We start from the raw sequence: 25607 nt of genomic DNA, 5'->3' as shown, positions 1-25607 counted from the left end.
TCTGTTTTGTTGATTTCCATATCACCAGCACTGGGAATAGTAGCCGATGCCCAGCAAGCATGCAACGTATTCCTGCTGGATCAAGGCCTGGCCCCGTAATACTGGGAAAAAGTCCCCAAACCTGTTCTATCATCCCGGATGTGCCTGCTGGGCCAGTCAAGGTTCCCAGTGACAGAAAGTCCGTGGAGATATCTTTCTGGTTGATTGGCAACAATATCTTACTTCTCTTGTTTGACATGAGTGGCACGATTTCCAAGGAAAAGGCATTGATCTCCTCCTGGGTCACCAGAGGCCTGGGGGGTGGCTCTCTGTCTTTTCATTGGCAACCCATGGCCAGGGCTTTTAGAGTTTGCTCCCTAAATATAGCATAGATCAGAACTTATTCAGCAGTTTGCTTACCCAGATTGCTACGATGCAGGGATAACCACAGGCCCTGAGTAGGATGGGTACTGGGGTATGTGCCCAGTGCATTTAAATATGTGCTAATAGGGACAGTCCTAAGAAGTAAGAGAAGGAGGGAAGGAGGGAGAGAGACAGGGAGGAAAGAAGGAAGGAAGTGAAGGGGAAATGAGGAAAGGAGGAAAAAGGAAAGGAAGAGAAGGGAATGTCAAGTCTGAAGGGCCTGACAATGGGCCCCACCCGGGGTGCAGTTCTGGACCTCAGCTTGACTTCCAGCACCTAGAGATCATCCTTCCTTTCTCAGGAGCGCAGCTGTCCCCGACCCATGCACCGGCTATGCTGCGCCAAGGCAGCGTGTGCTATTGCTTGGAGGCCCAGCGCTTCAGCAGAGGGAGCCATGGGGATAGAACGCGATGTTTCTGGTTAGCCTTGGGGTTTGGTTTTGTTTTGCTTTTTTGAGTGCATATTTCAACACCATTTTTAAATTTCGAATTTCCAAACTGCTAAGATTGTTAGACTAGTAAGCACAGGTGGTTTCCTCTGGGGAGAGGCCCAAGGCAGTGTGATCAGTGCAGTTTTCAGGACTGGAAGGTCATCTCAAAGCAGATAAACCAGACACAGAAAACAAAATGAGACAGGTGCAGGCTTGCAGGCCCCTCTCCCGCAGCTGCGCCAACGGTTGTGCTCAGCCACCTGCGGGCGCTGCACTCCCGGGCTCACTCCTCTGCAGGAGTGATCTCTGCCTAGAGGGTGCTCTCCCCTACACAGCCCAGCCACAGCGCCCACACAGACACCACAGATGCTTCCCTCCAGGGCCACCCAGCATGCCTGTGACACCGCGTGGGTCGCTGATTTTCCAGAAAATTCTGTTGGATGAACAGAGTGCAGAGTGGGCTAAGACAGCAGCAGAACACGTTCAAAGGAAAAGGCCGTGCCCTGTATTCTGTGCATGTGGGTCGTAGCTGGACTGTTTCATCCAAGTGTTGTATTTGGAGAAGGAAACTGGCTAACCAGACAATGTTCAGGGGCTCTTCTAGACAACACGCCACACCTGAGATCCTGAGCAACAAGCTGCTGTTTAGCTTGGAGAAGGCTGAAAAGGAACATTATTTACCTTTTGAATGTGTAACAAGCAGCTACATGAAGGAATAGGTAACGGTGGCCCCAGCTGAACAAAAACAAACATGTGGACACGACAGAGAAGAAAACGGAGAATAAATAAGCCAAGTGTCCTCACAAGAAGAAGGGTAGCCCATGGCGGGTCCTGATGCGGCAGGGAGCTCTCTTCCGGGACACTTTTCAGGACTCCCAGGAAGACTAGAGAGTATCTGTGCTTTGGGTGAGGGATGCATCCAATGACCTCTAGGCTGGGGACAATCTGGAGTGCAGCATGCAGCTGGCTGGGAGAAGCCATGATCTAGAGTCTGAACCACCTCCTGGGTGGGAGGCAGATCCAGCCGCCAGCACTGGGATCGGGACATCATCAGAAGATGGGTGATGAGCTGAACCAGCAGCCTGTGCTCAGGTCTAGCACAAAGTCATGGAAGTATCCCAGCCGCTAGAGGGAGGGCAGGACATAGTAGCCAGGAGGTGACAGACAAAATCCAGGCAGGCAGCATCATTTCCTCAGGCTGCTGTAACAAATTAACACCAACTGGGTGGCTTCAACAATAGAAATTTCGGCTGGGCTCGTTGGCTCACGCCTGTAATCCCAGCACTTTGGGAGGCCAAGGTGGAGGGATGGCTTGATCTCAGGAGTTTGAGACCAGCCTGGGCAACATAATGAGACCTCATGTCTACAAAAAATTTTAAAAAGAATAGTCAGGTGTGGTGGCACAGACCTGTAGTCCCAATTACACAGGAGGCTGAGGCAGGAGGATTGCCTGAGCCCAGAACTTTGAGGTTGCAGTGAGCTACGATTGCAATATTGCACTCCAGCCTGGATGACAGCGAGACATCATCTCTTAAAAAAAAATTGAAATTGAAATTTATTTTCTCAAGATTCTGGAGGCTGGAAGTCCAAGATCAAGTTTCCTCTGAGCCTCTCTCCTTGGCTTGTGGATGGCATCTTCTCCCTGTGTCCTCACAGGGCCTCTGTGGGTGTCCTCATCTCCTCTTCTTATAAGGACACCAGTCAGATTGGATCAGGGCTCACCCTGATGACCTCACTATATCTGAAATAGCTCTTTAACGACCCTATCTCCAGATCCAGTCACATTCTGAGGTACTGGGCAGGGGTTAGGACTACAACATGTAAATGGGGTTGGGGGGTTGGCAGGGGGAAGGCACAATTCAGCCCCAACATAGCACCGGGCGAGCTGTGGCACAGCCTCTCTGTGGGTTGGACACCAGCAATCAGAGCTCAGTCCTGGGGATGAAAGCAGGATGGGCAGGAGCCGAGGCAGCCTGTCAAGACAGAGGCTCAGACACCAGGCAGTAGGGAAGAATCAGCGCTGAAGCTGGGACACACTTGGGAAGAAGAAAGCTTAGGAGCCCAGGGCTTCCACTAAGATGACTCGCGGAGCCCCAGTGGGCCTGCCCCGATGGGAGGAGACCCAGCAGCTTCAGAGGTGGGGGAGGAAGCACAGAGTCCAGGAACACTTCTGAGATTTTGAAACCAGGATCCTGCCTTTCCCTGTAAGGTAATAAAGTCATCATCAGCTCACGGAAATCTCCTCCACTGTGCTTGCTGCCCAGCAGACAGGATGAGTGTTAGAGCAAAGGCCGTTCTTAGCACAGGGGGAAAGCTAGTGAACTTTCTCCTAAGAGACTCACCTCTAGCGTGTCTGCCTCTGTGTGCATGTGTGTGGGTACATGTACACATGTCCCAGCCAATCCCCACTCTCAGATCCACAGGGGTCTCAGGAGGGTCCTGGCTGCTTCACTTAAGAGCCAGAAGCTGGGTGCAGTGGCTTACACCTGTTACCTCAGCATTTTGGAAAGCTAAGGAACCCGGGAGTTCAACTTGAGGCCAGGAGTTCAAGACCAGCCTAGGCAACATAGGCAACCATCTCTACAAAAAGTTTAAAAAAATTAGCTGGGCATGGTGGCATGTGCCTGCACTCTCAGCTACTCAGGAGGCTGAGGCAGGAGGATTTCGTGAACCTAGAAGTTCAAGGCTGCAGTGAGCTATGATCATACCACTGCATTTCAGTCTGGGCTACAGAGCAAGACCCTGTCTGTAAACAATAAACATTTAAAAGGTGCCAGAAAGAAAGTAATACTGAAACCAAATGGATATGACACTGGGTTACAGGTAGGAGGATTTTAGGGCTCTCTCCCTCCCTCCAGTCCAAGGGCCACCTAAAAAGGGCAATCTCAGGCCCTAGGACCCAGGTCTATTGACGGGATTTCCTTCAACCTGAACGAGGACAGGGAAGCTGTTTTCACTGCTGTCTTACCAATATGTATTCAGATCACCTCACCATGAAGGCCACACCCACACCTTTTGTACTTGAGAGGCCAGGAGAGATGAGGGTGGATGGTCAGTATTTTGGGACTCACTGCCTTTGGGATCCCAGGCTCTGCTGGCCTCAGTGTCCACTGTCATCACTGTCCTGTGCACTGAGCCTTTTTGGCAGAAGGGCTAGGAAGGGCCACTCTGAAACACCACAGCAGGAGTGCAGCGTAACCGGCCTTGACGGTCCACAGGCCAACGCCCACTTCAAGGTATTACGATACCCACTACCAGGCCCTGCAGGCGAAGGCATGGCGGCAGCTCAACTTGCTCCTCCCATTCAGTCTGAATGTCCCTCCTGGGAACGTCTGCCTGAAACAAACCCAGCACTGGACAGAAGCGTCCAGGGCAAGGCCCACTCCAATAATGTCTCCTGATCTTTAGCTCATAAAATCAAAAGTGAGGCATCTCTGAGTTCCCTGGGCAGCTTCTCCACAATCAAATACACCTGGATAAATACAAACCTGGTGTCATCTCGAAGCTTCCTACGAAAGGACCCCACAGCTCATGAGTGAATCATGAGGTCCGGATGTGAAAAAGTCCTGGCTGAGGGAAAGCAATGTAATCATATTCAGTATTGTCCATAAGTCACCAGGAAATAATAATTATACAATACAGAAATAATAGAAAACACTTTTCCAGAATAGCTATAATGAAAGTCGGTGCCCTAAGGGAGGAGATACATATCTCTCCTACAATCCACACAAGTTATCGAAAACAGTGTCATTTATAGTTTTTAAGGAAAATATGAATATTTTACACGAGGCAAAAATCTTAAAATGCGGCTTTCCTACATTTGGGAATGGTGCAGAAAAGAGAGCATTTAGAACTTGCTGGAGTGTGATCACAGCCAGAATGCTGGTGCTGGCAGGAATGGCGATGGTTCAGTCCAACACCCTCACTACAGAGGACCTGGGATCCAGGACCAGGAAGTGATCTACCGAAGAGGCCCAGAGAACTTCCCACTTCTGAACCTGCCATTTTACACAGCCAGGCTACGTCGCTCCAGGAGGAATCCATGTTCTTCAGATTATAGGAGGAGACCCGCAAAACCAATTAGAAAGGGCATGTGTGACAGAGGCCAGGGCAGTGGACACCAGGACCCGAGATGGTCTGTGACAGGAAAGTGACAGAGGACAGAGGCGCAGCTAAGACAGACTGCAAGAAACGCGATGACTGGTCAAAATAATGGGTTTCTCCTTTCCTTTTTCCTATTTTTCCAAATCGTCCACAGTGTCAAGTCGTTTGAAAAATGGAAAAAATAAAAACAGCCTTACCAACTGGCAGCGGCCAGCCCCTCCCTGGCGTGCAAGGTCAGGGGCAGGGGCAGGCGCGTACCCTTCCCCGGAAGGAGAAGCGTGGAGAGCCCGGGTGGGGGGTGGGGGTGCGGGGCTGTGCCTGCGCTCCCCACCAATCTACTTTCCAAGTAAAATGTTACAGTGTTACATTCCAGGTTCCTCCCTAATCCCATGCACCCCGGCTGGGGCGGCGGGAACAGGCCTGGCGAGCGCGGGGAAACAGGGTCGGGGAACCCTGCTGGAAACCCCCGCTGTTCGCCCCCTCTGGAATCGCTTCCCGCATTCCTGATCCCAGGTCTAAGACCAGCCTCGGCGCCAAGAACCAGCCCTCCCGCTTTTGCTAAGCGTGGCGGGTCCCAGGCAGGGTTGGGGAGCGACGCTTCCCCTGGGGTCCTCCTTCCCCGCCCCTACCCTCGCCCCGAGGCGGGGGCGCACTCACCACCAGCCAATGGGCGCATCTTCCAGGTGCCGCTCCCCTCCTGGCCCTGGCGGCAGCTCCCAGGCGACCGCAGCCAGCGGAGCCCCTGGGTCAGGAAGGCAAGGGGCGGGCAGCGGTCGTGTCGGGCAGGGGCGGGCCAGCTGGGTGCGCGGCCAGTCGGGCAAATGGCAGGTGCGGACCCGGCAGGTGCGCGGGGCGGGCGTGGGCGGGGCAGGTGCGCGGGGCTGTGCCCCGGGCTGTGCCCGGGAGCTCTGAGGTCGCTGGCGGAGGGTGGACCCGTTCCCCGCCGGGCTGACCCCGGGCCAGGGCTGATCTGACCGGAGAAGCCCAGCAAGGTTGGCTCTGAAGGGAGGAAACGACGCCACTTGATACTTTGGCTCCCTAGGCTCCCAGTTAATGTCTCCCAAGAGGAAAGGGAAGCATGACCCAAGCCTTTCAAATGACAAAGCAGAGGCCCAGCCCAGTCCAAGTTCGCCGTCCATGTCCACTGTCTGAGGCCATCGGTCTTCTTTGCTTCCTCCAGAACAGTCGCTACAGGCTCGCTGTTGCCAGCCCAGCCCAGCCTAGCAGGCGCCCCACCTCTTGTTTTCTCTTTTACTGCCAGGATGATGAATTCATTCTGGGAAAGTGAAGCGAGGGCCATGCCCAGCCCCTCTGGCCACGGCATGGGTCTGCAGGTCCTCCTTTATATGATATGATGACCAAGGAGCTTCAGGAGTGGGGGTCAGGCAGATGTGTGAAGACATCAGGATCCCCAAACAGGAATAGCTCCTCTCTCCCCATCCACGGGTACACCTTCATTCCAAACACACATCAGGTTTTTATAGCACTTTTGACCCATGATAGTCACAGTGGCCTCAGGTAACAAGGGCAAGTTAAAACTCCGAGCCCAGTTGGTCACTTTTGCAGAAGAGAGCTCCAGGGAAGCAGGGTCTGCGAAAGACCCAGTCCCCGCCCCAGGGTCCGGCTGGTTCTTGGTAGTTCTACTCTGCTCCGGCCTCTGCTCTCTCAAGAAGCCCAAGGTGCCCTGCCTTCCCAGGGACATTATCCACCCTGTGGGTCACCCTGGTGGGCTTGGCCCTGAGTCTCCCTCCACCATTGTCTTTGCTCCTGGGAAGTTCTAGGGACACATGTCCTGTGGACAATGTGGCTTTATTCCTCCAGTTCACCCCCACCTGCAGTCTCCCCAAACCAGAGGGACCAGAAGACAGGGGTCTCCACAGTAAGGAATCCTTCCTAATGACTCAAGAATCATGCCAGCGTTGGGCCTGAGCACGGCCCGTTTGAGTCTGGATGCCACTCGGACCTGCTGTGCAAGAATACTAAGAAGCCACTCTCCAGCTAGTTGGAACGACTCCCTTAAACCAATGAACTGACCGCCAATCTTACCTTCATCTTTAGCTCACCTGACTTCAGAGGTAAGGCTTTTATCTCTGGGTTTGTTTTCAATTTTTAAAAAATGTGGCTAAAAAATGCACAACCTAAAATTACCACCTTAGCCATCTTGAAGTGTAAAGTCCAATAGAGTTAAATAAATTCACATTACTGATCTCCAGAACTTTTTCATCTTGCAAAACTAAAATTCTGTACTCATTGCACAACTCACCATTTACCCTTGCCCCCAGCCCCTGGAAACCACCATTCTGCTTTTTCTATGAAGTTGAGCACTCTAGATACTTCATATAAGCGCAATCATACACTATTTGTCTTTTTGTGACTGGTTTATTTCACTTAGTATCATGTCCTCCAAGTTCATCCATGCTGTAGCATGTGTCAAAATTTCTTTTCTTTTTAAGGCTGAATAAAATTCCATTGGACATATGTACCACATTTTGTTTATTCATTCATCCATCCGCGGACACTTGGGTTTCTTCTGCCTCTTAATTACTGTGAATAATACTGCTATGAACATGGGTGTGCAAATATCTCTTCTGGATCCTGCTTTCAATTCTTTTGGATACATACTGAGAAGTGGAATTGCTGGATCATACGATAATTCTATTCTTAATTTTTTGAGGAATCACCATACTGTTTTCCATAGCTGCACAATTTTATAATCCCACTCAGTGCACAGGGCATCCAGTTTCTCTACATCCTCACCAACGCATGTTGTTATCTCTCTCTTTTTTTTTTTTTAATAGTAGCCTTCCTAATGGGTATGAAGTGATATCTGATTGTGGTTTTGGTTTGCATTGTCCTAATTGCTAGTAGTGTTGAGTATCTTTTCACGCTCTTGTTGGCTATTTGTATATCATCTTTGGAGAAATGTCCACTTAAGTCCCTTGCCCAGTGGACTGTTGTGCATCATATTTCCTTAAATTACTTTAATTACATATTCCTTTTAAAATAAAACATCATCAATAGCAAGAACTACTGTTTTTAAAAATATTTTCATTGTACATTTTTCCCTCTAGATTGTCATTTGATGTTGACATTACCTTTGAAATAGACACAGATCAAATAAAATCAAATTAACAAATATGTATGGGGCACCTGCCATGGTGCCTTAGTCTCCTTAGGCAAGACTTAGTCTGTTTGCTGTAACGAACACTATACTCTGGGGACTTAAACAGCACACATTTATTTCTCACAGTTCTGGAGTCTGGAAAGTCTAAGGTCAAGGTACTGGCTGATTCAGTTCCTGGTGAGTGTCTTTCCCTGGCTTGCAGACTGATCACTGTCTTCTCACTGTGTCCTCACATGGTGGAGAAACAGAGAGAAGAAGTGAGGGCTCTGGTGTTTCTTCTTAGAAGGGCACTAATCCTATTATGAGGGCCCACCTTCATGACCTCATCTGAGCCTAATTACCTCCCAAAGGCCCTATCTCCAACCACCCCAAAGCCATCTAATTGAAAGATTAGGGCTTCAACCTATGAATGTTTTTGTTTTTGTTTTTGTTTTGGTGGGGGTGGATGCAATTCATCCATGGCAGCTAGATCCTAGAGAAAAAACTGCATACCCTCTGTCCACAGTATCCACATGTGATTATAGCAGCAAACCATATACAACCCAACATTCCATCTACAGGAAAATGGAGGAACAAATTTTGGTATATTCATGTGGAATACAACTCAGCAAAACAACAACAACAACAACAAAAATGCCCCACTGACAAAGGCAACAACATGATGACTCTCAAATGCGACATGCATACATACTGTATGATGAGGTTCAAGAATGGATCAAATGCGACATGCATACATACTGTATGATGAGGTTCAAGAATGGATCAAATGCGACATGCATACATACTGTATGATGAGGTTCAAGAATGGATCAAATGCGACATGCATACATACTGTATGATGAGGTTCAAGAATGGATCAAATGCGACATGCATACATACTGTATGATGAGGTTCAAGAATGGATCAAATGCGACATGCATACATACTGTATGATGAGGTTCAAGAATGGATCAAATGCGACATGCATACATACTGTATGATGAGGTTCAAGAATGGATCAAATTCATCTGTGGTGACAGAAGTCAGAACAGTGGTTTCCCCTGAGTGCAGACGCAGGGTGGTGTTGAGTAAGATGGAGCAAGGGAAACTTTCCAGAGCAACAGAAAGTTCTTTGTATTTATCTTGGTGAATATACAAGAATCCTATAAAAAAGGTTATAGGGTTATATATATCAAGGATTTGTGTATTTTACTGCATATAAATTACACTTCAATAAAACATGTTATCTAAAAAAGAAAAAACAAATGGTTCAAGATGACAGAGCCAATCAGGGGATTGGACCTTTGAAGGTACATTCATAGCTCTGTCTGGTCAGCATGGTCAAGTGCCATTTCAGGCCTAGAGTGGCCTCGAGAAGCCTGCTTTCAGCTCTGATTAGCTGAGCGTACTTCAGGATGTTCCCACCTCCTTCAGAAGGACTAGGATGAACAATCTGTGGTCCCAACAATGTGGGGTCTGCACTTCCCCACTCGCTACACTCTGCCCTGCCCTTCCTTGAAGGCCTCCCCTAAGCCTTGCTTCTTCTCTGCCCCATTCCCACTGGACAACACAGGCCTCTGGTCATTCCAAACTCTCCAGCCACCCCTCAGCTCCTGAGAGGCTGGCACAATGTGCCTCTGTGGCTTGGGGACATTGAGTCATCACAATGTAGATGTAGCACAGTTAGATGCAGACATCATACACACACACACACACACACACACACACACTCTCACACACACAGTGAGACCCAGAATGGCTTTTTCTGCTTCATAACTTACATGTTCAGGTCTTCATTTGCCTTTCTTCAGACTCACATACTGAATTGTACATGCTTTTCTTTTTAAATGTTAAGATATTTGGCTTAATGTTTTATTTCTTTTGTATCCTCTCATAGGGCTTTGCATTCAGTGATCATTCAATTTATACTACAGCCCAGCAGGTCTCAAGGTGCGACTCAGGAACTCCTAGGATCCATGAGACCCTGGAGTGAGTTTGTAAGGTCAAAACTTAATACAAAGACAACAGCTGCACTTTTTGTTCTCATCCTCTCAGAATTCTACAGTGGAGCTTTCAACTGTGCACTGGGAAGGTCTGTGTGACTCAGTGAACCAGCACTTTTAAATGATGGATGTATAATAATCATTATACAAAATTATATACATATATACAATCATTAGAGGGGGAAAGATTCATTCAAAGTGCCAGATAGAGCAATTAATTTTAACATGACAGTGTAAACTACCACGCATCAAGTTTTGGTACAGTATCAAATAATAATATCCACAATGACATGGTTTGGCTCTGTGTCCCCACACAAATCTCACCTTGTAGCTCCCATAATTCCCACATGTTGTGGGAGGGGTCTAGTGAAAGATGATTGAATCATGGGGGCGGGTCTTTCCTGTGCGGTTCTCATGATAGTGAATGGGTCTCATGAGATCTGATGGGTTTAAAAATAGGAGTTTCTCTGCACAAGAGCTTTCTTTGCCTGCTGCCATCTACATGAGACGTGACTTGCTCCTCCTTGCCTTCCACCATGATTGTGAGGCTTCCCCAGTCATGTGGACTGTAAGTCCAATAAACCTCTTTCTTTTGTAAATTGCCCAGTCTCAGGTATGTCTTTATCAGCAGTGTGAAAATGGACTAATACACACAATTATCTGAAAAGGGTATTAAGGTACTCCTCACTGTTCCAACTATGTATCTGTGTGAAACTAGTTTTCTCCACACCTACAACGAAAACAACATATTTCAACAGACTGAATGCAAAAGGAGCCCTGAGAATCCAGCTGTCTTCTGCTAAGGACATTAAAGAGATTTGCAAAAATGTAAGACAATGTCATTCTTCTCACTAGATATTTTGTTTTGGAAAATAAAACTGTTCTTCATAAAACTATTTATGTTTATGTTAACAGGCAATGGTTGTATTGTTTTTATTTCTAAGTGAATTAATATATTAAAAATTTGTCATTTTTAATTTTTTTTTTAATACAGGGTCTCACTCTGTCACCCAGGATGGAGTGAGGTGACATGATCATAGCTCACTGCAGCCTCAACCTTCCAGGTTCAATGCGATCCTCCCACCTCAGCCTCCTGAGTAGCTGGAATCACAGGTGTGTGCCACCACACCCAACTAACTTTTGTATATATACATATATATATATATATATATATATATATATATATATATATATATATTTTTTTTTTTTTTTTGTAGAGACAGGGTTTTGTCATGTTGCTCCTCACTTTCAACTTCGAATGCAGTAAATATCAATAGCCAGAACCTTCAGAAACAAAAGCTCCTGGGGCTCCTCCGTCACTTTTAAGTGTATAAAGGGGTCCTGAGAGCAAAATGTTTGAGAACCACTGCTTTAGACTGCCTGGCTGAAACACTGAGAAGATCCATTGGAAACGAAAGGGACAGATAACCTAGGTTTAGAGTCAGACTTGGTGTCAATCAAGGTTCCTCACCAAACTAACAGATTTGGAACAACTTATTTAATACTTTTTAAACTCAGATTTTTAAAAAAATACGTGAAATGGGGAAAAAATATCCTTTTAGGAACTGTTAAGATTAAATGGGATAACACATGAAACATGCCAGCAGACACTTACACTTGTCATTACTTATGCAGCTGCCCTTCACCCTACAGGGCTGGGAGCAGCCAGGCTTGCTGAGCCAGGGGTGATGTTATCCAGAATCAGGGCCAGCTGACCAACTACGTGGAAAGCAAGAGGCTCTCTGTGTCCCAGCATGCACCCTGGGAGTACCAGAGGATGGTGCAGGGCTGACTCTTCAGAGCTCTTCCAACCTGGGAGAAGGGTGTGCTCATTTTGGAAGGGCCAGAAACCCAGACAGAGCACCTTAGTGGAAGTACAGGTCCTAGTTCAATTCAGTTCAATCAGCCAGATGTGGATGAAGCACCTACTAGATCTCAGGCAATGTGTAAACTTCAGAGATGCATCAGTGCACAAAAGTGACACAGATATGGAACTTGTGCCACTCACATTCTAGTGCAAAGATCCAGAAAATGAGGCAGTAGCTCACGGGGTTCCTAGGGAGGACTGAGCTGCAGATGGGAGCACCAAGAGTGGAAAACCCACAAATGAGCAGAGGACAGACAGTGACCCCACAGGCTCCTGTGTGGCCAAAAGAGTGTGTATGGTCACGTGGTGCCACCAAGAGGAACTGGTGATGCGGGGCCGGGGTGGGGTGAGGCTCATTGTGAACATAGCCATGGAGAGCCAGGGTGATGACTGGCAGGACAGTGGAGAGACCGCAGGCTTCTCCTGGAGCAAGAGAACCAAGAGACAAGGAAGATGTTGAGGCTGAGCAAGGCTGCCTTTGGGTAGAAACTCCCACCCTCCTTCCTGAATCATAGCTCTGTCAGTCACTTCCCTGCAGCACCAGGCTGGGAGGATGAGAAACCCAGAGACCTGTGAACTCTGGCTTGGCAGAAAGCTTAGCCTACATAAAAATTTCTGAGTCTGAATGGGACCAGAAGAGGCAGGCAAAGGTAAACTGAGCTCTCCTGAAAGAGGGAAAGTCACCATTTTGGGTTGCTCCCCTTTTGTTCTGGGAAACAACCTGGGTGGACCAGGTGGTAATGCAAATGTCCAGTTCCCAAGCGTGATGGTATCTGGCACTGGGGCATGACTATTGCCCTCAGGAAGGACAGCCATCAAATATTCAGATCAATGCGTCTAAGCTTTTAAACTGGTCTTGTTGGTTCTGCCGGTAAAGCTGCTGCAAACTGTTTCCCCTGTGAGTCTCCTGAATGTGCCAAATGTGTCTGTACAGAAAATCCATGGCTCTCATTTGGAAAGGTGTGGGTTCACACTCTTAGCTGCAGCAATGCACCCTGAAACATACACTGCAGGTTTTGGGAAGAATCCAAAGTTTTAGATGGTTTGATCTGCAACTGTGACTGGGGATGTGTATATCCTACAGTTCCACGTGTCCCTTATGGGTTTTCTGCATCATCATGATGCTCGTGGCCAGCATGGGAGGACAGGAAGAAGCGGAAGCAGAACTCAAGCCTAGCAAGGAAGAGACCCTGGCACATGGGTGACCCACTGTGGGAAGGAAAGGCACCCAACTCTCATGAACTTGAGTGACACAGAAGTAAGAAAACAGCTCCAAGGGGAGGCTGAAGCTATTATGGTCCATTTGTCAGAAAAGGAGACTCCAGTTGGAAAAGAGATTTTGACCAAAAGTAGAATATAAATCAGTACTACAGTTTACAGGATCATCTAACTAGCTAGTCCTGAAGGCGGATGATGCTGTGTGCTCACTTGAGCAGTGTGGAAATCCCTGGCCACCCTGTCTTTTACCCATTAGGCAACTGAAGTGCACAAAGTCTGTGTGTAGCCCAAGGCCACTCAGCTAGAGCCTCGGTCTCTTAAGTTGAGACCCTGCATCAGAGTCTTCTTGGTCCCAGTAACACATCCCATACCTCCTTTTGTGAAGATGAATCTAAAGTGGGAGGTCACCAGGTCAAGGGCAAGGGAAGATCCACATGCTTCTGCTGACCTCCCAGAGTCTGTGTGACCCTGCCACCACTTCTCTTCCTACTTGTCCCAACCCTACTCCTGGGACCTGATGACCATTTCACTGTTTATTTGCACCTCGCCTGGACTGCAAAATGTGTGAAAAACCGAGGCAGGCGGATCACCTAAGGTCAGGAGTTCGAGACTAGCCTGACCAGCATGGCGAAACCCTGTCTCTACTAAAAATACAAAATTAGTCGGGTGTAGGGGTGCATGCCTGTAATCCCAGCTACTCTGGAGGCTGGGGCAGGAGGATCGCTTGAACCCAGGAGGCACAGGTTGTGGTGAGCCAAGATCACACCACTGCACTCCAGCCTGGGCAACAAGAGTGAAACTCTGTCTCAAAAAAAAAAAAAAAAAAAAAGAAAAGAAAAACAAAAACCAACAATCAAAAGACTGGCACCCAAACTCGTTGCCTTTGCTACTGCTTTTCACTCTTGTTAAAGCCATTTCTGCTGACGGCAGCTGCACAGATTGTTTGGAGGAAGAGCATGGAAGTTGGGTGAGCACTACCCAGAACCTCTACTTCTGCCCTCATGGCTGGGTGGTTTGGGGCATGCCATTTAACCTCTCTGAGCCTGGCTTCTTCATCTACACAACAGGGGCAGTGACACTCATCTCATAGGGTGGTTGTGGGGATTAAGTGAGAAAATGGAGAGAAGGTACCTTGAATAATCCTGGATGCAAATGAGGCATCCCATAAGTGGTCACTACGGTTGTTATGTTAATGGGTTATTTTATCTCTCACTGTCATAAGACATCAAGAGAAAAACTGGCTGAATTTCAGTGTTGATTTAGAAACAAGTTATGTAAGGGATTATGTATAAAAAAGAACTATATGACACACATCTTGAAATACAGGCACACCTCACTTTATTGTGCTTCACTTCATATGCAGATACTGCATCTTTTACAAATTGAGGGTTCCTAGCAACCCTGCCTCCAGTAAGTCTACTGCTGCCATTTGTTTCCAACAGCATGTGCTTACTTCCTGTCTCTGTGGCGCATTTTGGTAATTCTGGCAATACTTCAAACTTTTTCAGCATTATCATATATGGTATGGGGATCTGTGATCAGACATCTTTGATGTTACTATTGTGACTATTTTGGGGGTGCCATGAACAGTGTCCACAGAAGACAGTGAACTTCATCCATATATGTGTGTGTGCTTTGGCTGCTCCATTAACCAGCTATTCCCCATCTCTCTCCCTCTCCTTGAGCCTGTTCCCTGAGATACAACAATATTGAATTAGACCAATTAATAACATTACAATGGCCTCTAATCATTCAAGTGAAACAGTCACACATATTTCTCTTTAAATCAAAAGCTAGAAATGATTAAGCTTAGTGAGGAAGGCATATTAAAAGCCAATAGAGGCCATAAGCCAGGCCTCTTGTGCCAAACAGTTAGCTAAGTTATAAATGCAAAGGAAAGTTTTTAAAGGATATGATAAGTGCCACCCCAGTGAAAACAGAAATGATAAGAAAGTGAAATAGCCCTGTTACTGATATGGAGAAAGTTTTATTGCTCTGGGTAAACCATGATATTTCCTCAAGCCAAAGCCTAATCCAGAGCAGGGTCCTAACTTTCTTCAATTCTGTGAAGGCTGAGAGGTGTGGAAGCTGCAGAAGAAAAGTTGGGAGCTGGGAGAGGTTGGTTCATGAGGTTGAAGAAAAGAAGCCATCTCCGTAACACAAAAGTGAAAGGTAAGGCAGCAAGTGCTGATGCAGAAGCTACAGAATGTCTTCCAGAAGATCTAGCTAAGATCATTGATAAAGGCGGCTACACTAACAAATTTTCAATGTAGACAAACAGCCTTATATTGGAAGGTGCCATCTGGGACTTTCAGAGTTAGAGAGGAAAAGTCCATGACTGGTTCGAAGCTTCAGAGACAGGCTAACTCTTTTGTTAGGGCTGACTTTAAGGTGACACCAATGCTCATTTACTTTTCCAAAATGCCTAAGGCCCTTAAGAAGCATGTCAAATGGGAAGGAGGAAGGGGTGAGGGATGAAATACTACCTATTGCATACAATGTACACTATTCAGATGATGAATGCACTAAAATCCCAGACTTCCCCACTAAGCAATATAACATCCAGGTAACACAATTGCACTTATACCCCCAAATCTATAAAAATTACAAAAGAAGTATGCTACATCTACTGTCTGTGGTCCAGAAATGGAAAAACAAAGCCTAGATGACAGCCCGTCTGTTTACAGCATTGTTTACTGAATATTTCAGCCCACTGTTGAGATCTACTGCTTCGAAAAAAAATTCCTTTGAAAACATTAGTTCATTTATTAATACAATCACCTGGTCACCCAAGAGCTCTGATGGAGACATATAAGGAAATCAATGTCGTTTCTGTATCTGCTAACACAACATCCATTCTGCAGCCCTTGGATCAAAGAGTAATTTTGACTTTCAAGTCTTATATTTTAAGGAATACATTTGTAGGAATACAGCCACCATAAAGAGTGATTCCTCTGATGGATCTGGGCAAAGTCAATTGAAAACCTTCTGGAAGGGATTCTGCATTGAAGACGCCATTAAGAACATTTGTGATTCATGGGAGGAGGTCAAAATAAAACATTAAAAGGAGTTTGGAAGAAATTGATTCCAACCCTCATGGATAACTTTGATGACTTCAAGACTTCAGTGTAACTTCAGTTACAGCAAATATGATGGAAATAATAAGAGAACTAGCATTAAGAATGGAGCCTAAAGATGTGACTGAATTGCTGCAATCTCATGAGAAAATTTGAACCGATGAGGAATTGCTTCTTATGATTGAGTGAAATGGGTGGTTTCTTGAGATGGAATCTACTCTTGGTGAAGATGCTGTAAACATTGTTGAAATGACAACAAAGATTTGAGAATACTACATAAACTTCGTTGATAGAGTAGTGGCAGAGTTTGAGAGGACTGACTTCAATTTTGAAAGAATTTACACTATGGGTCAAATACTATCAAACAACATTGCATGCTACAGAGAAACCTTTTGTCAATTGATGTGGCAAACTTCATTGTTGTCTTCTTTTAAGAAATTGCCACAGCCGCTCTAATCTTCAGCAACCACCGTCCTGATCAGTCAGCAGCCATCCACACTGAGGCAAGGCCCTCCACCAGCAAAAAGATTATGATTCTTTGAAGTCTCAGATGAACGTTGGCACTTTTAGCAATAAAGTATTTTAAAATTAAGGTATGCACATTGTATTTTAGACATACTATTTCACACTTAATGGAGTAATGTAGACATTACTTTTATGTGCATTGGGAAACCAGAATGTTTGTATGACACACTTCATTGTGATATTGGCTTTATTGCAGTGGTCTAGAACCAAATCTGCAATATCTCCAAATATGCCTGTATTCCAAGGAAAACAGGTTTTTTTTTCTTAAGCACAAATCCTTTGAGAAAGAAGGCAAAACAAAACAAAAACTCATAGCAGTATATGTATATGACAGTCCAAGACTGCTAAACAGAAGAAAATAGAACGTATTTCTGAAATCCATGGGATTCCTAAGTGAGACTGAGTGGCCACGTGTTGGTAGTTTGGGCTGGCATGGGACTGCTCCTTACCCTTTACTGATCCCCATGTCCTCACTCCTCAAGCCAAGGGCATATCGCCTATACCTCTGCATGGAACCCGCACCAACCCCACTTTCTTTTCTATCTCCCTGTAAAGTGCTTGAAAACGTCGCTCCCCTCTCATTCAGCCTGCAGACCTCTACCCACCTGGAGTGTGGTTCCAGGAGATGAAGAGGTTCAAGCCTGGAAACTCATGATTTTGTACACATTTCCTTTCTGCATTGTTGGAGCAATGAAAATATACGTGGTCAAATAAAGGAGGAAAACGTGTTGCGGAGGTCACAAGGTTCCACACGTCATCCCTTCAGTTCCAATCTCTCCCTGGAACTGTGTGCTTCCTTGTTTTGATCCCACTTCCTTCTTGGATCTCAAATTCTCCTCCTTCACTCCAGCAGCCCCTGCCTTTGCTGGTTGACCATAGCATCCACCTAGCTGGTCTCCCTACCCACGGTCACTTCTTTCCAGATGCCTTTCAGCTGCCCCCAGGGAACGTTCCTACTGGCACCAGATGAAAGCCTCCATGGCTCCCAATGTTTTCAGGGACAAGCAGGAGGATCCCATCCCCAGGCGTCACCCTCCCCCTGAAGTAGGTTCTGGAATCCTCTGCTGGGAATGCAGTCCCTGGTCGCCCGTGTGGGGTCGGGGGCTCCTGAGTGCCCACCCGCTGCCTGCAGGCCGGGGCAAGCCAGGAGGCCTTGGGCCAGAGCCTGGGGTCCATGCCCAGGCAGCCCCATCCCCTGTCTGGGGATGAGTGCAGATGGGTGCCAGGCTCGGGTCTCCTAGGGGCTGAGAATTAGACGGGAGTTGGGGGCTGTCTGCGACTGCACGCGCAGCCGCAACGGGAGGTGCCTGGGCACGTGGGAAACCGCCGGTGCAGGCAACCTGGGGCCCTTCGGGGGCGACTCCCTCGGGCTGCTCAGGGTCCCAGATGCAGGCGGCAGCGTCCTGCCCCGTCCATCCTTCCCCTCCCCACGCCAGCCCCGCGTCCTCTCACCCAGTCTCGGGCTCCTGCCTTCGCACGGTGGAAAAAGATGGCGCCAGGGTGCCCCAGCCATGCCCGCCGAGCCCAGCCAGGCGCCCGCGCAGGCGCAGTGGATCACGGGAACAGCGCAGTCGCGAATCCAGTCTATGAGGAAGTTTCCGCCAGTAGACCCCAGGAAGCAGATCTGGTCTACATGGCCTGCCTCTCCAGCCTTCAGACCCTGGGTGTGGCCGTTGGGTGCATCTCCCCTTTCCCACCGCGCCCTTCCCCTGCGGTGTGTCCCCACCTTGTGCCCATCTCCCCTTTCCCGCTGCGCCCCTCCCCTGTGGTGTGCCCCCCTCGTGTCTATCTCCTCTTTTCTGCTGCGCCCCTCCCCTGCCGTGTGTTCCCCCCTCGTGTCCATCTACCCTTTCCGGCTGTGACAACCCCCCCCCTGCCACACACACACACACACACACACACACACACGTGAGGTCTGGTCTGGTGACTTCTCCTCGCTGTTCTGGTCCCTGGCGCGCAGCTCCCGGGTCTTTCCTGCTGGGATCCTGGGAACATTACATGGGGTCTGAGGGTGTGTCCTGAGGTCCTGTGAAATGAATTTCCACGTTTCTGTGAAAACGCTTCTGGCGTTGCCTGCCATCCATCACCCCCACAGTACTTTCATGTACTCCTTGCAAACTGGGCTTGAGGACTCCTTTGGGTGCCAGCTGCACCTGTTGGCCTGTAGGTTCCTGGAAATGAGGATATGTGTTTATTTCTCTGCATCCACACTCAGGAATTAAATACTGGCATAGCTTTTTTTATTTGTCTTCCATTTATTGTGCTTTACAGATGTAGTTTTTACAAACTGAAGGTTTGTGACAACCCTGTGTGAACAAGTTCTCTGAAAAAAAAAATTTGGAGAAAAGACACTTTATTCCAGTGAAAAATTTGCAAACTGGGGAGACAGCACCACACGTGTAAAAATTAAGATGCACTCCAGAGAACAGAGGGAAGGCCCAGGTTTTATAGCAAAAGTGCCTTCCCAAGTTGCCAATCAGGTCTGTTTATGCAAATGAAGGCTTGAAACTTATTTAGTTCTGATTGGTTGACAGAGCTGAACCCTGATTGGTCAATATAGCTGAGCTCTGATTGGTTAATACAACTGAGCCCTGATTGGCCAAGGAGGTGAGCTCTGATTGGTTGTTCCAGGTCTCATAGTTTAAGAAATACATCTCATAAGGCCATACTTGCCATAGAGAGTGATTCCTCTGATGGATCTTGGGAAAAGTCAATTGAAAATCTTCTGAAAAGGATTCACCATTCAAGATGCCATTAAGAACATCCATGATTCATGAAAGGTGGTTAAAATATCAACATTAAGAGGAATTTGGGAGAAGTTCATTCCAATCCTTATGGATGACTTTGAGGGGTTTACGGCCCCAGTGTAGGAAGTTACAGCAGATGTGGTGGAAACAGCAAGAGAACTAGGATTAGAAATGGAGGCTGAAGATGTGACTGAATTGCTACAACCTCATGAGAAAATTTGAACAGACAAGGAGTTATTTCTTATGGATGTGCAGAGGAAATAGTTTCTTAGATGGAATTTACTCCTTGTGAAGATGCTGTGAACATTGTTGAAATGACAACAAAGGATTGAGAATACTATATAAACTTAGTTGATATGGCAGTGGCAGGGTTTGAGGGGATTGTCTCCAGTTTTGAAAGAATTTGCACTGGGGGCCAAATGCTATCAAACAACATTGCATGCTGCAGAGAAATATTTTTCTGAAAGGAAGAGTCAAACATTATTGTTATCTGTTTTTAGAAATTGTCAAATCCACCACAACCTTCAACAACCTGATTAGTCAGCAGCCATCCACATTGAGGCAAGACCTTCCAGCAGCAGAATAATGATGATTGGCTGAAGACACTTGATTGTTAGCATTTTTCAGCAATATTTTAAAATTAAGGTATGTACATTACTTTTCCAGATATAATGCTATTGCACATTCAATAAACTACAGTAGAGTGTAAATATAACATAAACAACTTTTTTGTTTATGTTATTTGCTTTACTGCAGCAGTCTGAAATTTAAACTCCATTTAAAAAAATGGGCAAAAGACATGAACAGACACTTCTCTAAGGACGACATACAAATGACCAACAAATATATGATACAAATACTCCATATCAGGCATATCTCCTGGATATCTCAGGATATCAGGAATATTTCCCAGGTATGCACGTATGTGTTCAATAAATGCCTGCTAAAATGCAGAGCTGGCAGAATGTCTAGGTTTCCCTTAGGTCAACTCCTTTGGGGCATTTTTTTTCCTCCATTACCGTGATAATCGAAATCTAGAACAACATAACTTTCACGTGCTGGAAGGAGCCCCTATATGCTGTCTGCTCCTCAAGCCCTTGTTTCGAAGTGAGGGAACAGAATCTCAAGTGAAATGACTTGCTGCAATGGCTACTCGAGTGGATGCTTCCATACCTATGTGTTATATATCAATGTTCTGTTTTTGAAGATCTGATCTTCAAGGACCTCAAACTGTACTCAACTGTGAGTAATAATAAGCTAACATTTTTTGAACATTTGTCACATATAACAATGCTCTTGGCTCCAACCAATAATTGTAATTGGAGTTTAGATCACAAGAATCCAAAAGAGTGGTTGAAGCCAAACCTCCAATCATCCTGGCCATCAACATTGACAGGTAAATTATATGGGTATTTAATCAGCACAGGATTTGGCTGGAGAAAAGCAGTTTTCTGAGAGAAATAAAAACACTAAACTTGTTCCCTTCTCATAGTTTGTTCTCCATCTTGTTTGCAGAACACAATACCGCATACCCAATTAGTAATGCAAATCCAAAACTCTTTGGTTGCATCACCTTACAACAATTGTGCCAATGAACTTGGCTTATTTTGTTCTTTCAATGGAAATACCCCTTTTAGAAGGGAGCCAAAAGCTTCCTTTTTCTTTCTGAAGCCAAGCAAGGAGCAGTAGAGTGCTCACACACATACACACACACGCACACTTTTTTAAAAGAGGACAAGAAAATTTCTAAAATCCACTCAATAAAAATGTCTGCCATCTTTCTAAAGAGGAAACAAAAGAAGATTTCAAGTTTTTTTTCTTTTTTTTAATTATACTTCAAGTTCTAGGGTACATGTGCACAGTGTGCAGGTTTGTTACATATGTATACATGTGCCATGTTGGTGTGCTGCACCCATTAACTCATCATTTAACATTAGATATATCTCCTAATGCTATCCCTCCCCCCTCCCCCCACCGCATGACAGGCCCTGGTGTGTGATGTTCCCCTTCCTGTGTCCAAGTGTTCTCATTGTTCAATTCCCACCTATGAGTGAGAACATGCGATGTTTGGTTTTTTGTCATTGCGATAGTTTGCTGAGAATGATGGTTTGCAGCTTCATCCGTGTCCCTACAAAGGACATGAACTCATCCTTTTTTATAGCTGCATAGTATTCCATGGTGTATATGTACCACATTTTCTTAATCCAGTCTATCATTGATGGACATTTGGGTTGGTTCCAAGTCTTTGCTATTGTGAATAGTGCCACAATAAACAACGTGTGCATGTGTCTTTATAGCAGCATGATTTATAATCCTTTGGGTATATACCCAGTAATAGGATGGCTGGGTCAAATGGTATTTCTAGTTTTAGATCCTTGAGGAATCGCCACACTGTCTTCCACAATGGTTTAACTAGTTTACAGTCCCACCAACAGTGTAAAAGCGTTCCTATTTCTCCACATCCTCTGCAGCACCTGTTGTTTCCTGACTTTTTAATGATTGCCATTCTAACTGGTGTGAGATGGTATCTCATTGTGCTTTTGATTTGCATTTCTCTGATGGCCAGTGATGATGAGCATTTCATGTGTCTGTTGGCTGCATAAATGTCTTCTTTTGAGAAGTGTCTGTTCATATCCTTTGCCCACTTTTTGATGGGGTTGTTTGTTTTTTTCTTGTAAGTTTGTTTGAGTTCATTGTAGATTCTGGATATTAGCCCTTTGTCAGATGAGTAGATTGCAAAAATTTTCTCCCATTCTGTAGGCTGCCTGTTCACTCTGACAGTAGTTTCTTTTGCTGTGCAGAAGCTCTTTAGTTTAATTAGATCCCGTTTGTCAATTTGGGCTTTTGTTGCCATTGCTTTTGGTGTTTTAGACATGAAGTCCTTGCCCATGCCTATGTCCTGAATGGTGTTGCCTATGTTTTCTTCTAGGGTTTTTATGGTTTTAGGTCTAACATGTGAGTCTTTAATCTATCTTGAATTAATTTTTGTATAAGGTGTAAGGAAGGGATCCAGTTTCAGCTTTCTACATATGGCTAGCCAGTTTTCCCAGCACCATTTATTAAATAGGGAAACCTTTCCCCATTTCTTGTTTTTGTCAGGTTTGTCAAAGATCAGATGGTTGTAGATGTGTGGTATTATTTCTGAGGACTCTGTTCTATTCCATTGGTCTATATCTCTGTTTTGGTACCAGTACCATGCTGTTTTGGTTACTGTAGCCTTGTAGTATAGTTTGAAGTCAGGTAGCATGATGCCTCCAGCTTTGTTCTTTTGGCTTAGGATTTTCTTGGCAATGCGGGCTCTTTTTTGGTTCCATATGAACTTTAAAGTAGTTTTTTCCAATTCTGTGAAGAAAGTCATTGGTAGCTTGATGGGGATGGCATTGAATCTGTAAATTACCTTGGGCAGTATGGCCATTTTCATGATATTGATTCTTCCTATCCATGAGCATGGAATGTTCTTCCATTTGTTTGTGTCCTCTTTTATTTTGTTGAGCAGTGGTTTGTAGTTCGCCTTGAAGAGGTCCTTCACATCCCTTTTAAGTTGGATTCCTAGGTATTTTATTCTCTTTGAAGCAATTGTGAATGGGAGTTCACTCATGATTTGGCTCTCTGTTTGTCTGTTATTGGTGTATAAGAATGCTTGTGATTTTTGCACATTGATTTTGTATCCTGGGACTTTGCTGAAGTTGCTTATCAGCTTAAGGAGATTTTGGGCTGAGACGATGGGGTTTTCTAAATATACAATCATGTCATCTGCAAACAGGGACAATTTGACTTCCTCTTTTCCTAATTGAATACCCTTTATTTCTTTCTCCTGCCTGATTGCCCTGGCCAGAACTTCCAACACTATGTTGAATAGGATTGGTGAGAGAGGGCATCCCTATCTTGTGCCAGTTTTCAATCAAGTTTTTTTTTCAACCTTTACTTTAGGATCAGCTGGTACATGTGCAAGCTTGTTACATAGGTATATTGTGTGATGCTGAGGCTTGAGGTATGAATGATTCCACCACTCAGGTACTGAGCATAGTACCAAACAATTCGTTTTTTAACCGTTTCCCCCTGCCTTCCCTCCCCACTCTAGTAGTCCCCTGGGTCTGTTGTTACCATCTTTATGTCCATGAGTACCCAGTGTTTTGCTCCTACACATGAGAGAATATGCAATATTTGGTTTCTGTTCCTGCATTAATTTGCTTAGGATAATGGCCTCCAGCTGCATCCATGTTGCTACAAAGGACATTATTTCATTCTTTTTTATGGCTATGTAGTATTCCATGGTCTAGATGTACAACATTTTCTTTATCCAATCCAACAGTGATGGGCACATACGTCAATTCTATGTTTTTGCTATTGTGAATAGGGCTGCAATGAACATGCGAATACATATGTCTTTTTGGTAGAAGGATTTGTTCTCTTTTGCATATATACACAGTAGTGAGATTGCTGGGTTGAATGGTAGCTCTGTTTTAAGTTTTAGAGAAATCTCCAAACTGCTTTCTACAATGTCTAAGCTAATTTAAATTCCTACCAACAGTGTATAAGCATTCCCTTTTCTCTGCAGCCAAGAGAGCATCTATTGTTTTGTTTTGATTTTTTACTTTTTAATAATAGCCATTCTGACTGGTGTGAGATGGTACCTCACTGTGGTTTTGATTTGCATTTTTTATTATTAGTGATATGGAGCACTTTTCATATGTTTGTTGGCCACTTGTATGTTTTCTTTAGAGAGGTGTCTGTTCATGTCTTTTGCCCATTTTTTGATGGAATTGTTTGTTTTTTGCTTGTTCAATTATTTAAGTTTTTATAGATTTTGAATATTAGACCTTTGTCAAATGCAGTTTGTGAGTTTTTTTATCCCATTCTGTAGGTTCTCTGTTTATTGTTGATAGTTTATTTTGCTGTGCAGCAGCTCTTTAGTTAAGGTATTATTGATGAATAAAAATTGTATGTTTGTGGTATACAACACAATGTTTTGAAACATGCATACATTGTGAAATGGCTAAATTGAGCTAATTATCATATGTGTGACCTCACATACTTATTATTTTCATCCTCCTAACTGAAATTTTGTATCCATTGACCAACATCTCCCCAACTCTATGCCCAGCCTCTAGTAAGCACTGTTCTGCTCTCTGCTTCCATGAGTTTAAGATTTTTAGATTCCACATATCAGTGAGATCAGGTGGAGCGTGTCCTTCTGTACCTGGCTTATTTCACTTGCCATAATGACCTCTAGGTTCAGGATTTCCTTTTGATAAGGCTGACTAGTATTCCATTGTGTATATATACTACATTTTCTTATCCATTCGTCTGTCGATGAACACTTAGGTTGATTCCAAATCTTGGCTACTGTGACTGTGCTGCAGTGGACATGGGAGCGCAGCTCTTTAGCATACTGGTTTCTTTTCCTGTGGATGTATATCCAGTAGTGGGATTGCCAGAAATCATATGGTAGTTCTACTTGTCAAGTTTTGAGACACCTCTATACTGTTTTCTACAATGGCTGTGGCCTATTTGCTTTGAATTTGTAAATTCTGGTTCTGATGTCAGCTTTGCTACTTTTCTGGCTAGTTCACCTATTTTTTCTGACTCTGATTTTTCTCACCTGTATGATCAGATGATTAAGATGATGATTAACTGTCCACCTTCATAGTTTTAATAAAGATAAAATGAAAAAAATGTCCTGTAGTCTCCATGCTACCTGAAGCCAATAGTGATAAACTTAGGGTAGAGTGGGTCTCTTGGAAAGGGGGACACATGAGGGCCTTGGCCCTGTCCTTTGCATCAGGGCCCAGTCAGAACCACCAAGCACACTTGGGAAAGGCCTCAGATTCCCCAGGTCCTGACTGAGCAGACCACTCAGCTGTTTGTCCTCAGGCTGCTCCACACCATGGCAGCTGCTGTTAACAGAATGCATGCTCTGCAGTTGTATGGGACATACAAAGTTCCCACACACCAACCCTGTTATACAGCCCACAGTTTCCTCCATTGGAGTCAATGTTGGTTGAGGCCGTTGGGTCTCAGCTGGGTTTGCACATTGGAATCATAGGGAACATCTAAAGAATACAGAACAAAGGTGCCACCCCCAGAGATTCTAACATCATTGTCCAGGAGGGGCCCTGGGAATTTATATA

The 25607-nt window shown here is 45.4% G+C and overlaps 1 protein-coding gene across 5 annotated transcripts in view; it reads right to left on the bottom strand.

The window, feature by feature from the left end:
• The window catches only part of FAM3B (FAM3 metabolism regulating signaling molecule B), a 53486-nt gene extending 35236 nt beyond the window's left edge, over positions 1-18250 (bottom strand). For 2 of the 5 annotated variants that reach the window (NM_058186.4, NM_206964.2), the window contains exon 1: positions 5594-5691. In NM_058186.4, coding sequence (NP_478066.3) covers positions 5594-5612 — 19 coding nt within the window. In that variant the 5' untranslated portion in view covers positions 5613-5691. Of the gene's footprint in view, positions 1-1636; positions 2156-5593; positions 5692-18181 lie in introns of those variants that run through there. The other 3 variants (XR_007067791.1, XM_011529649.3, XM_011529648.3) reach the window with 3 other exon arrangements.
• Positions 18251-25607: the final 7357 nt, after the last annotated feature.

This window comes from Homo sapiens, chromosome 21 (assembly GCF_000001405.40).
Source record: "Homo sapiens chromosome 21, GRCh38.p14 Primary Assembly".
Taxonomy (NCBI): domain Eukaryota; kingdom Metazoa; phylum Chordata; class Mammalia; order Primates; family Hominidae; genus Homo; species Homo sapiens.
This window is presented reverse-complemented; position numbering and strand designations above follow the sequence as displayed.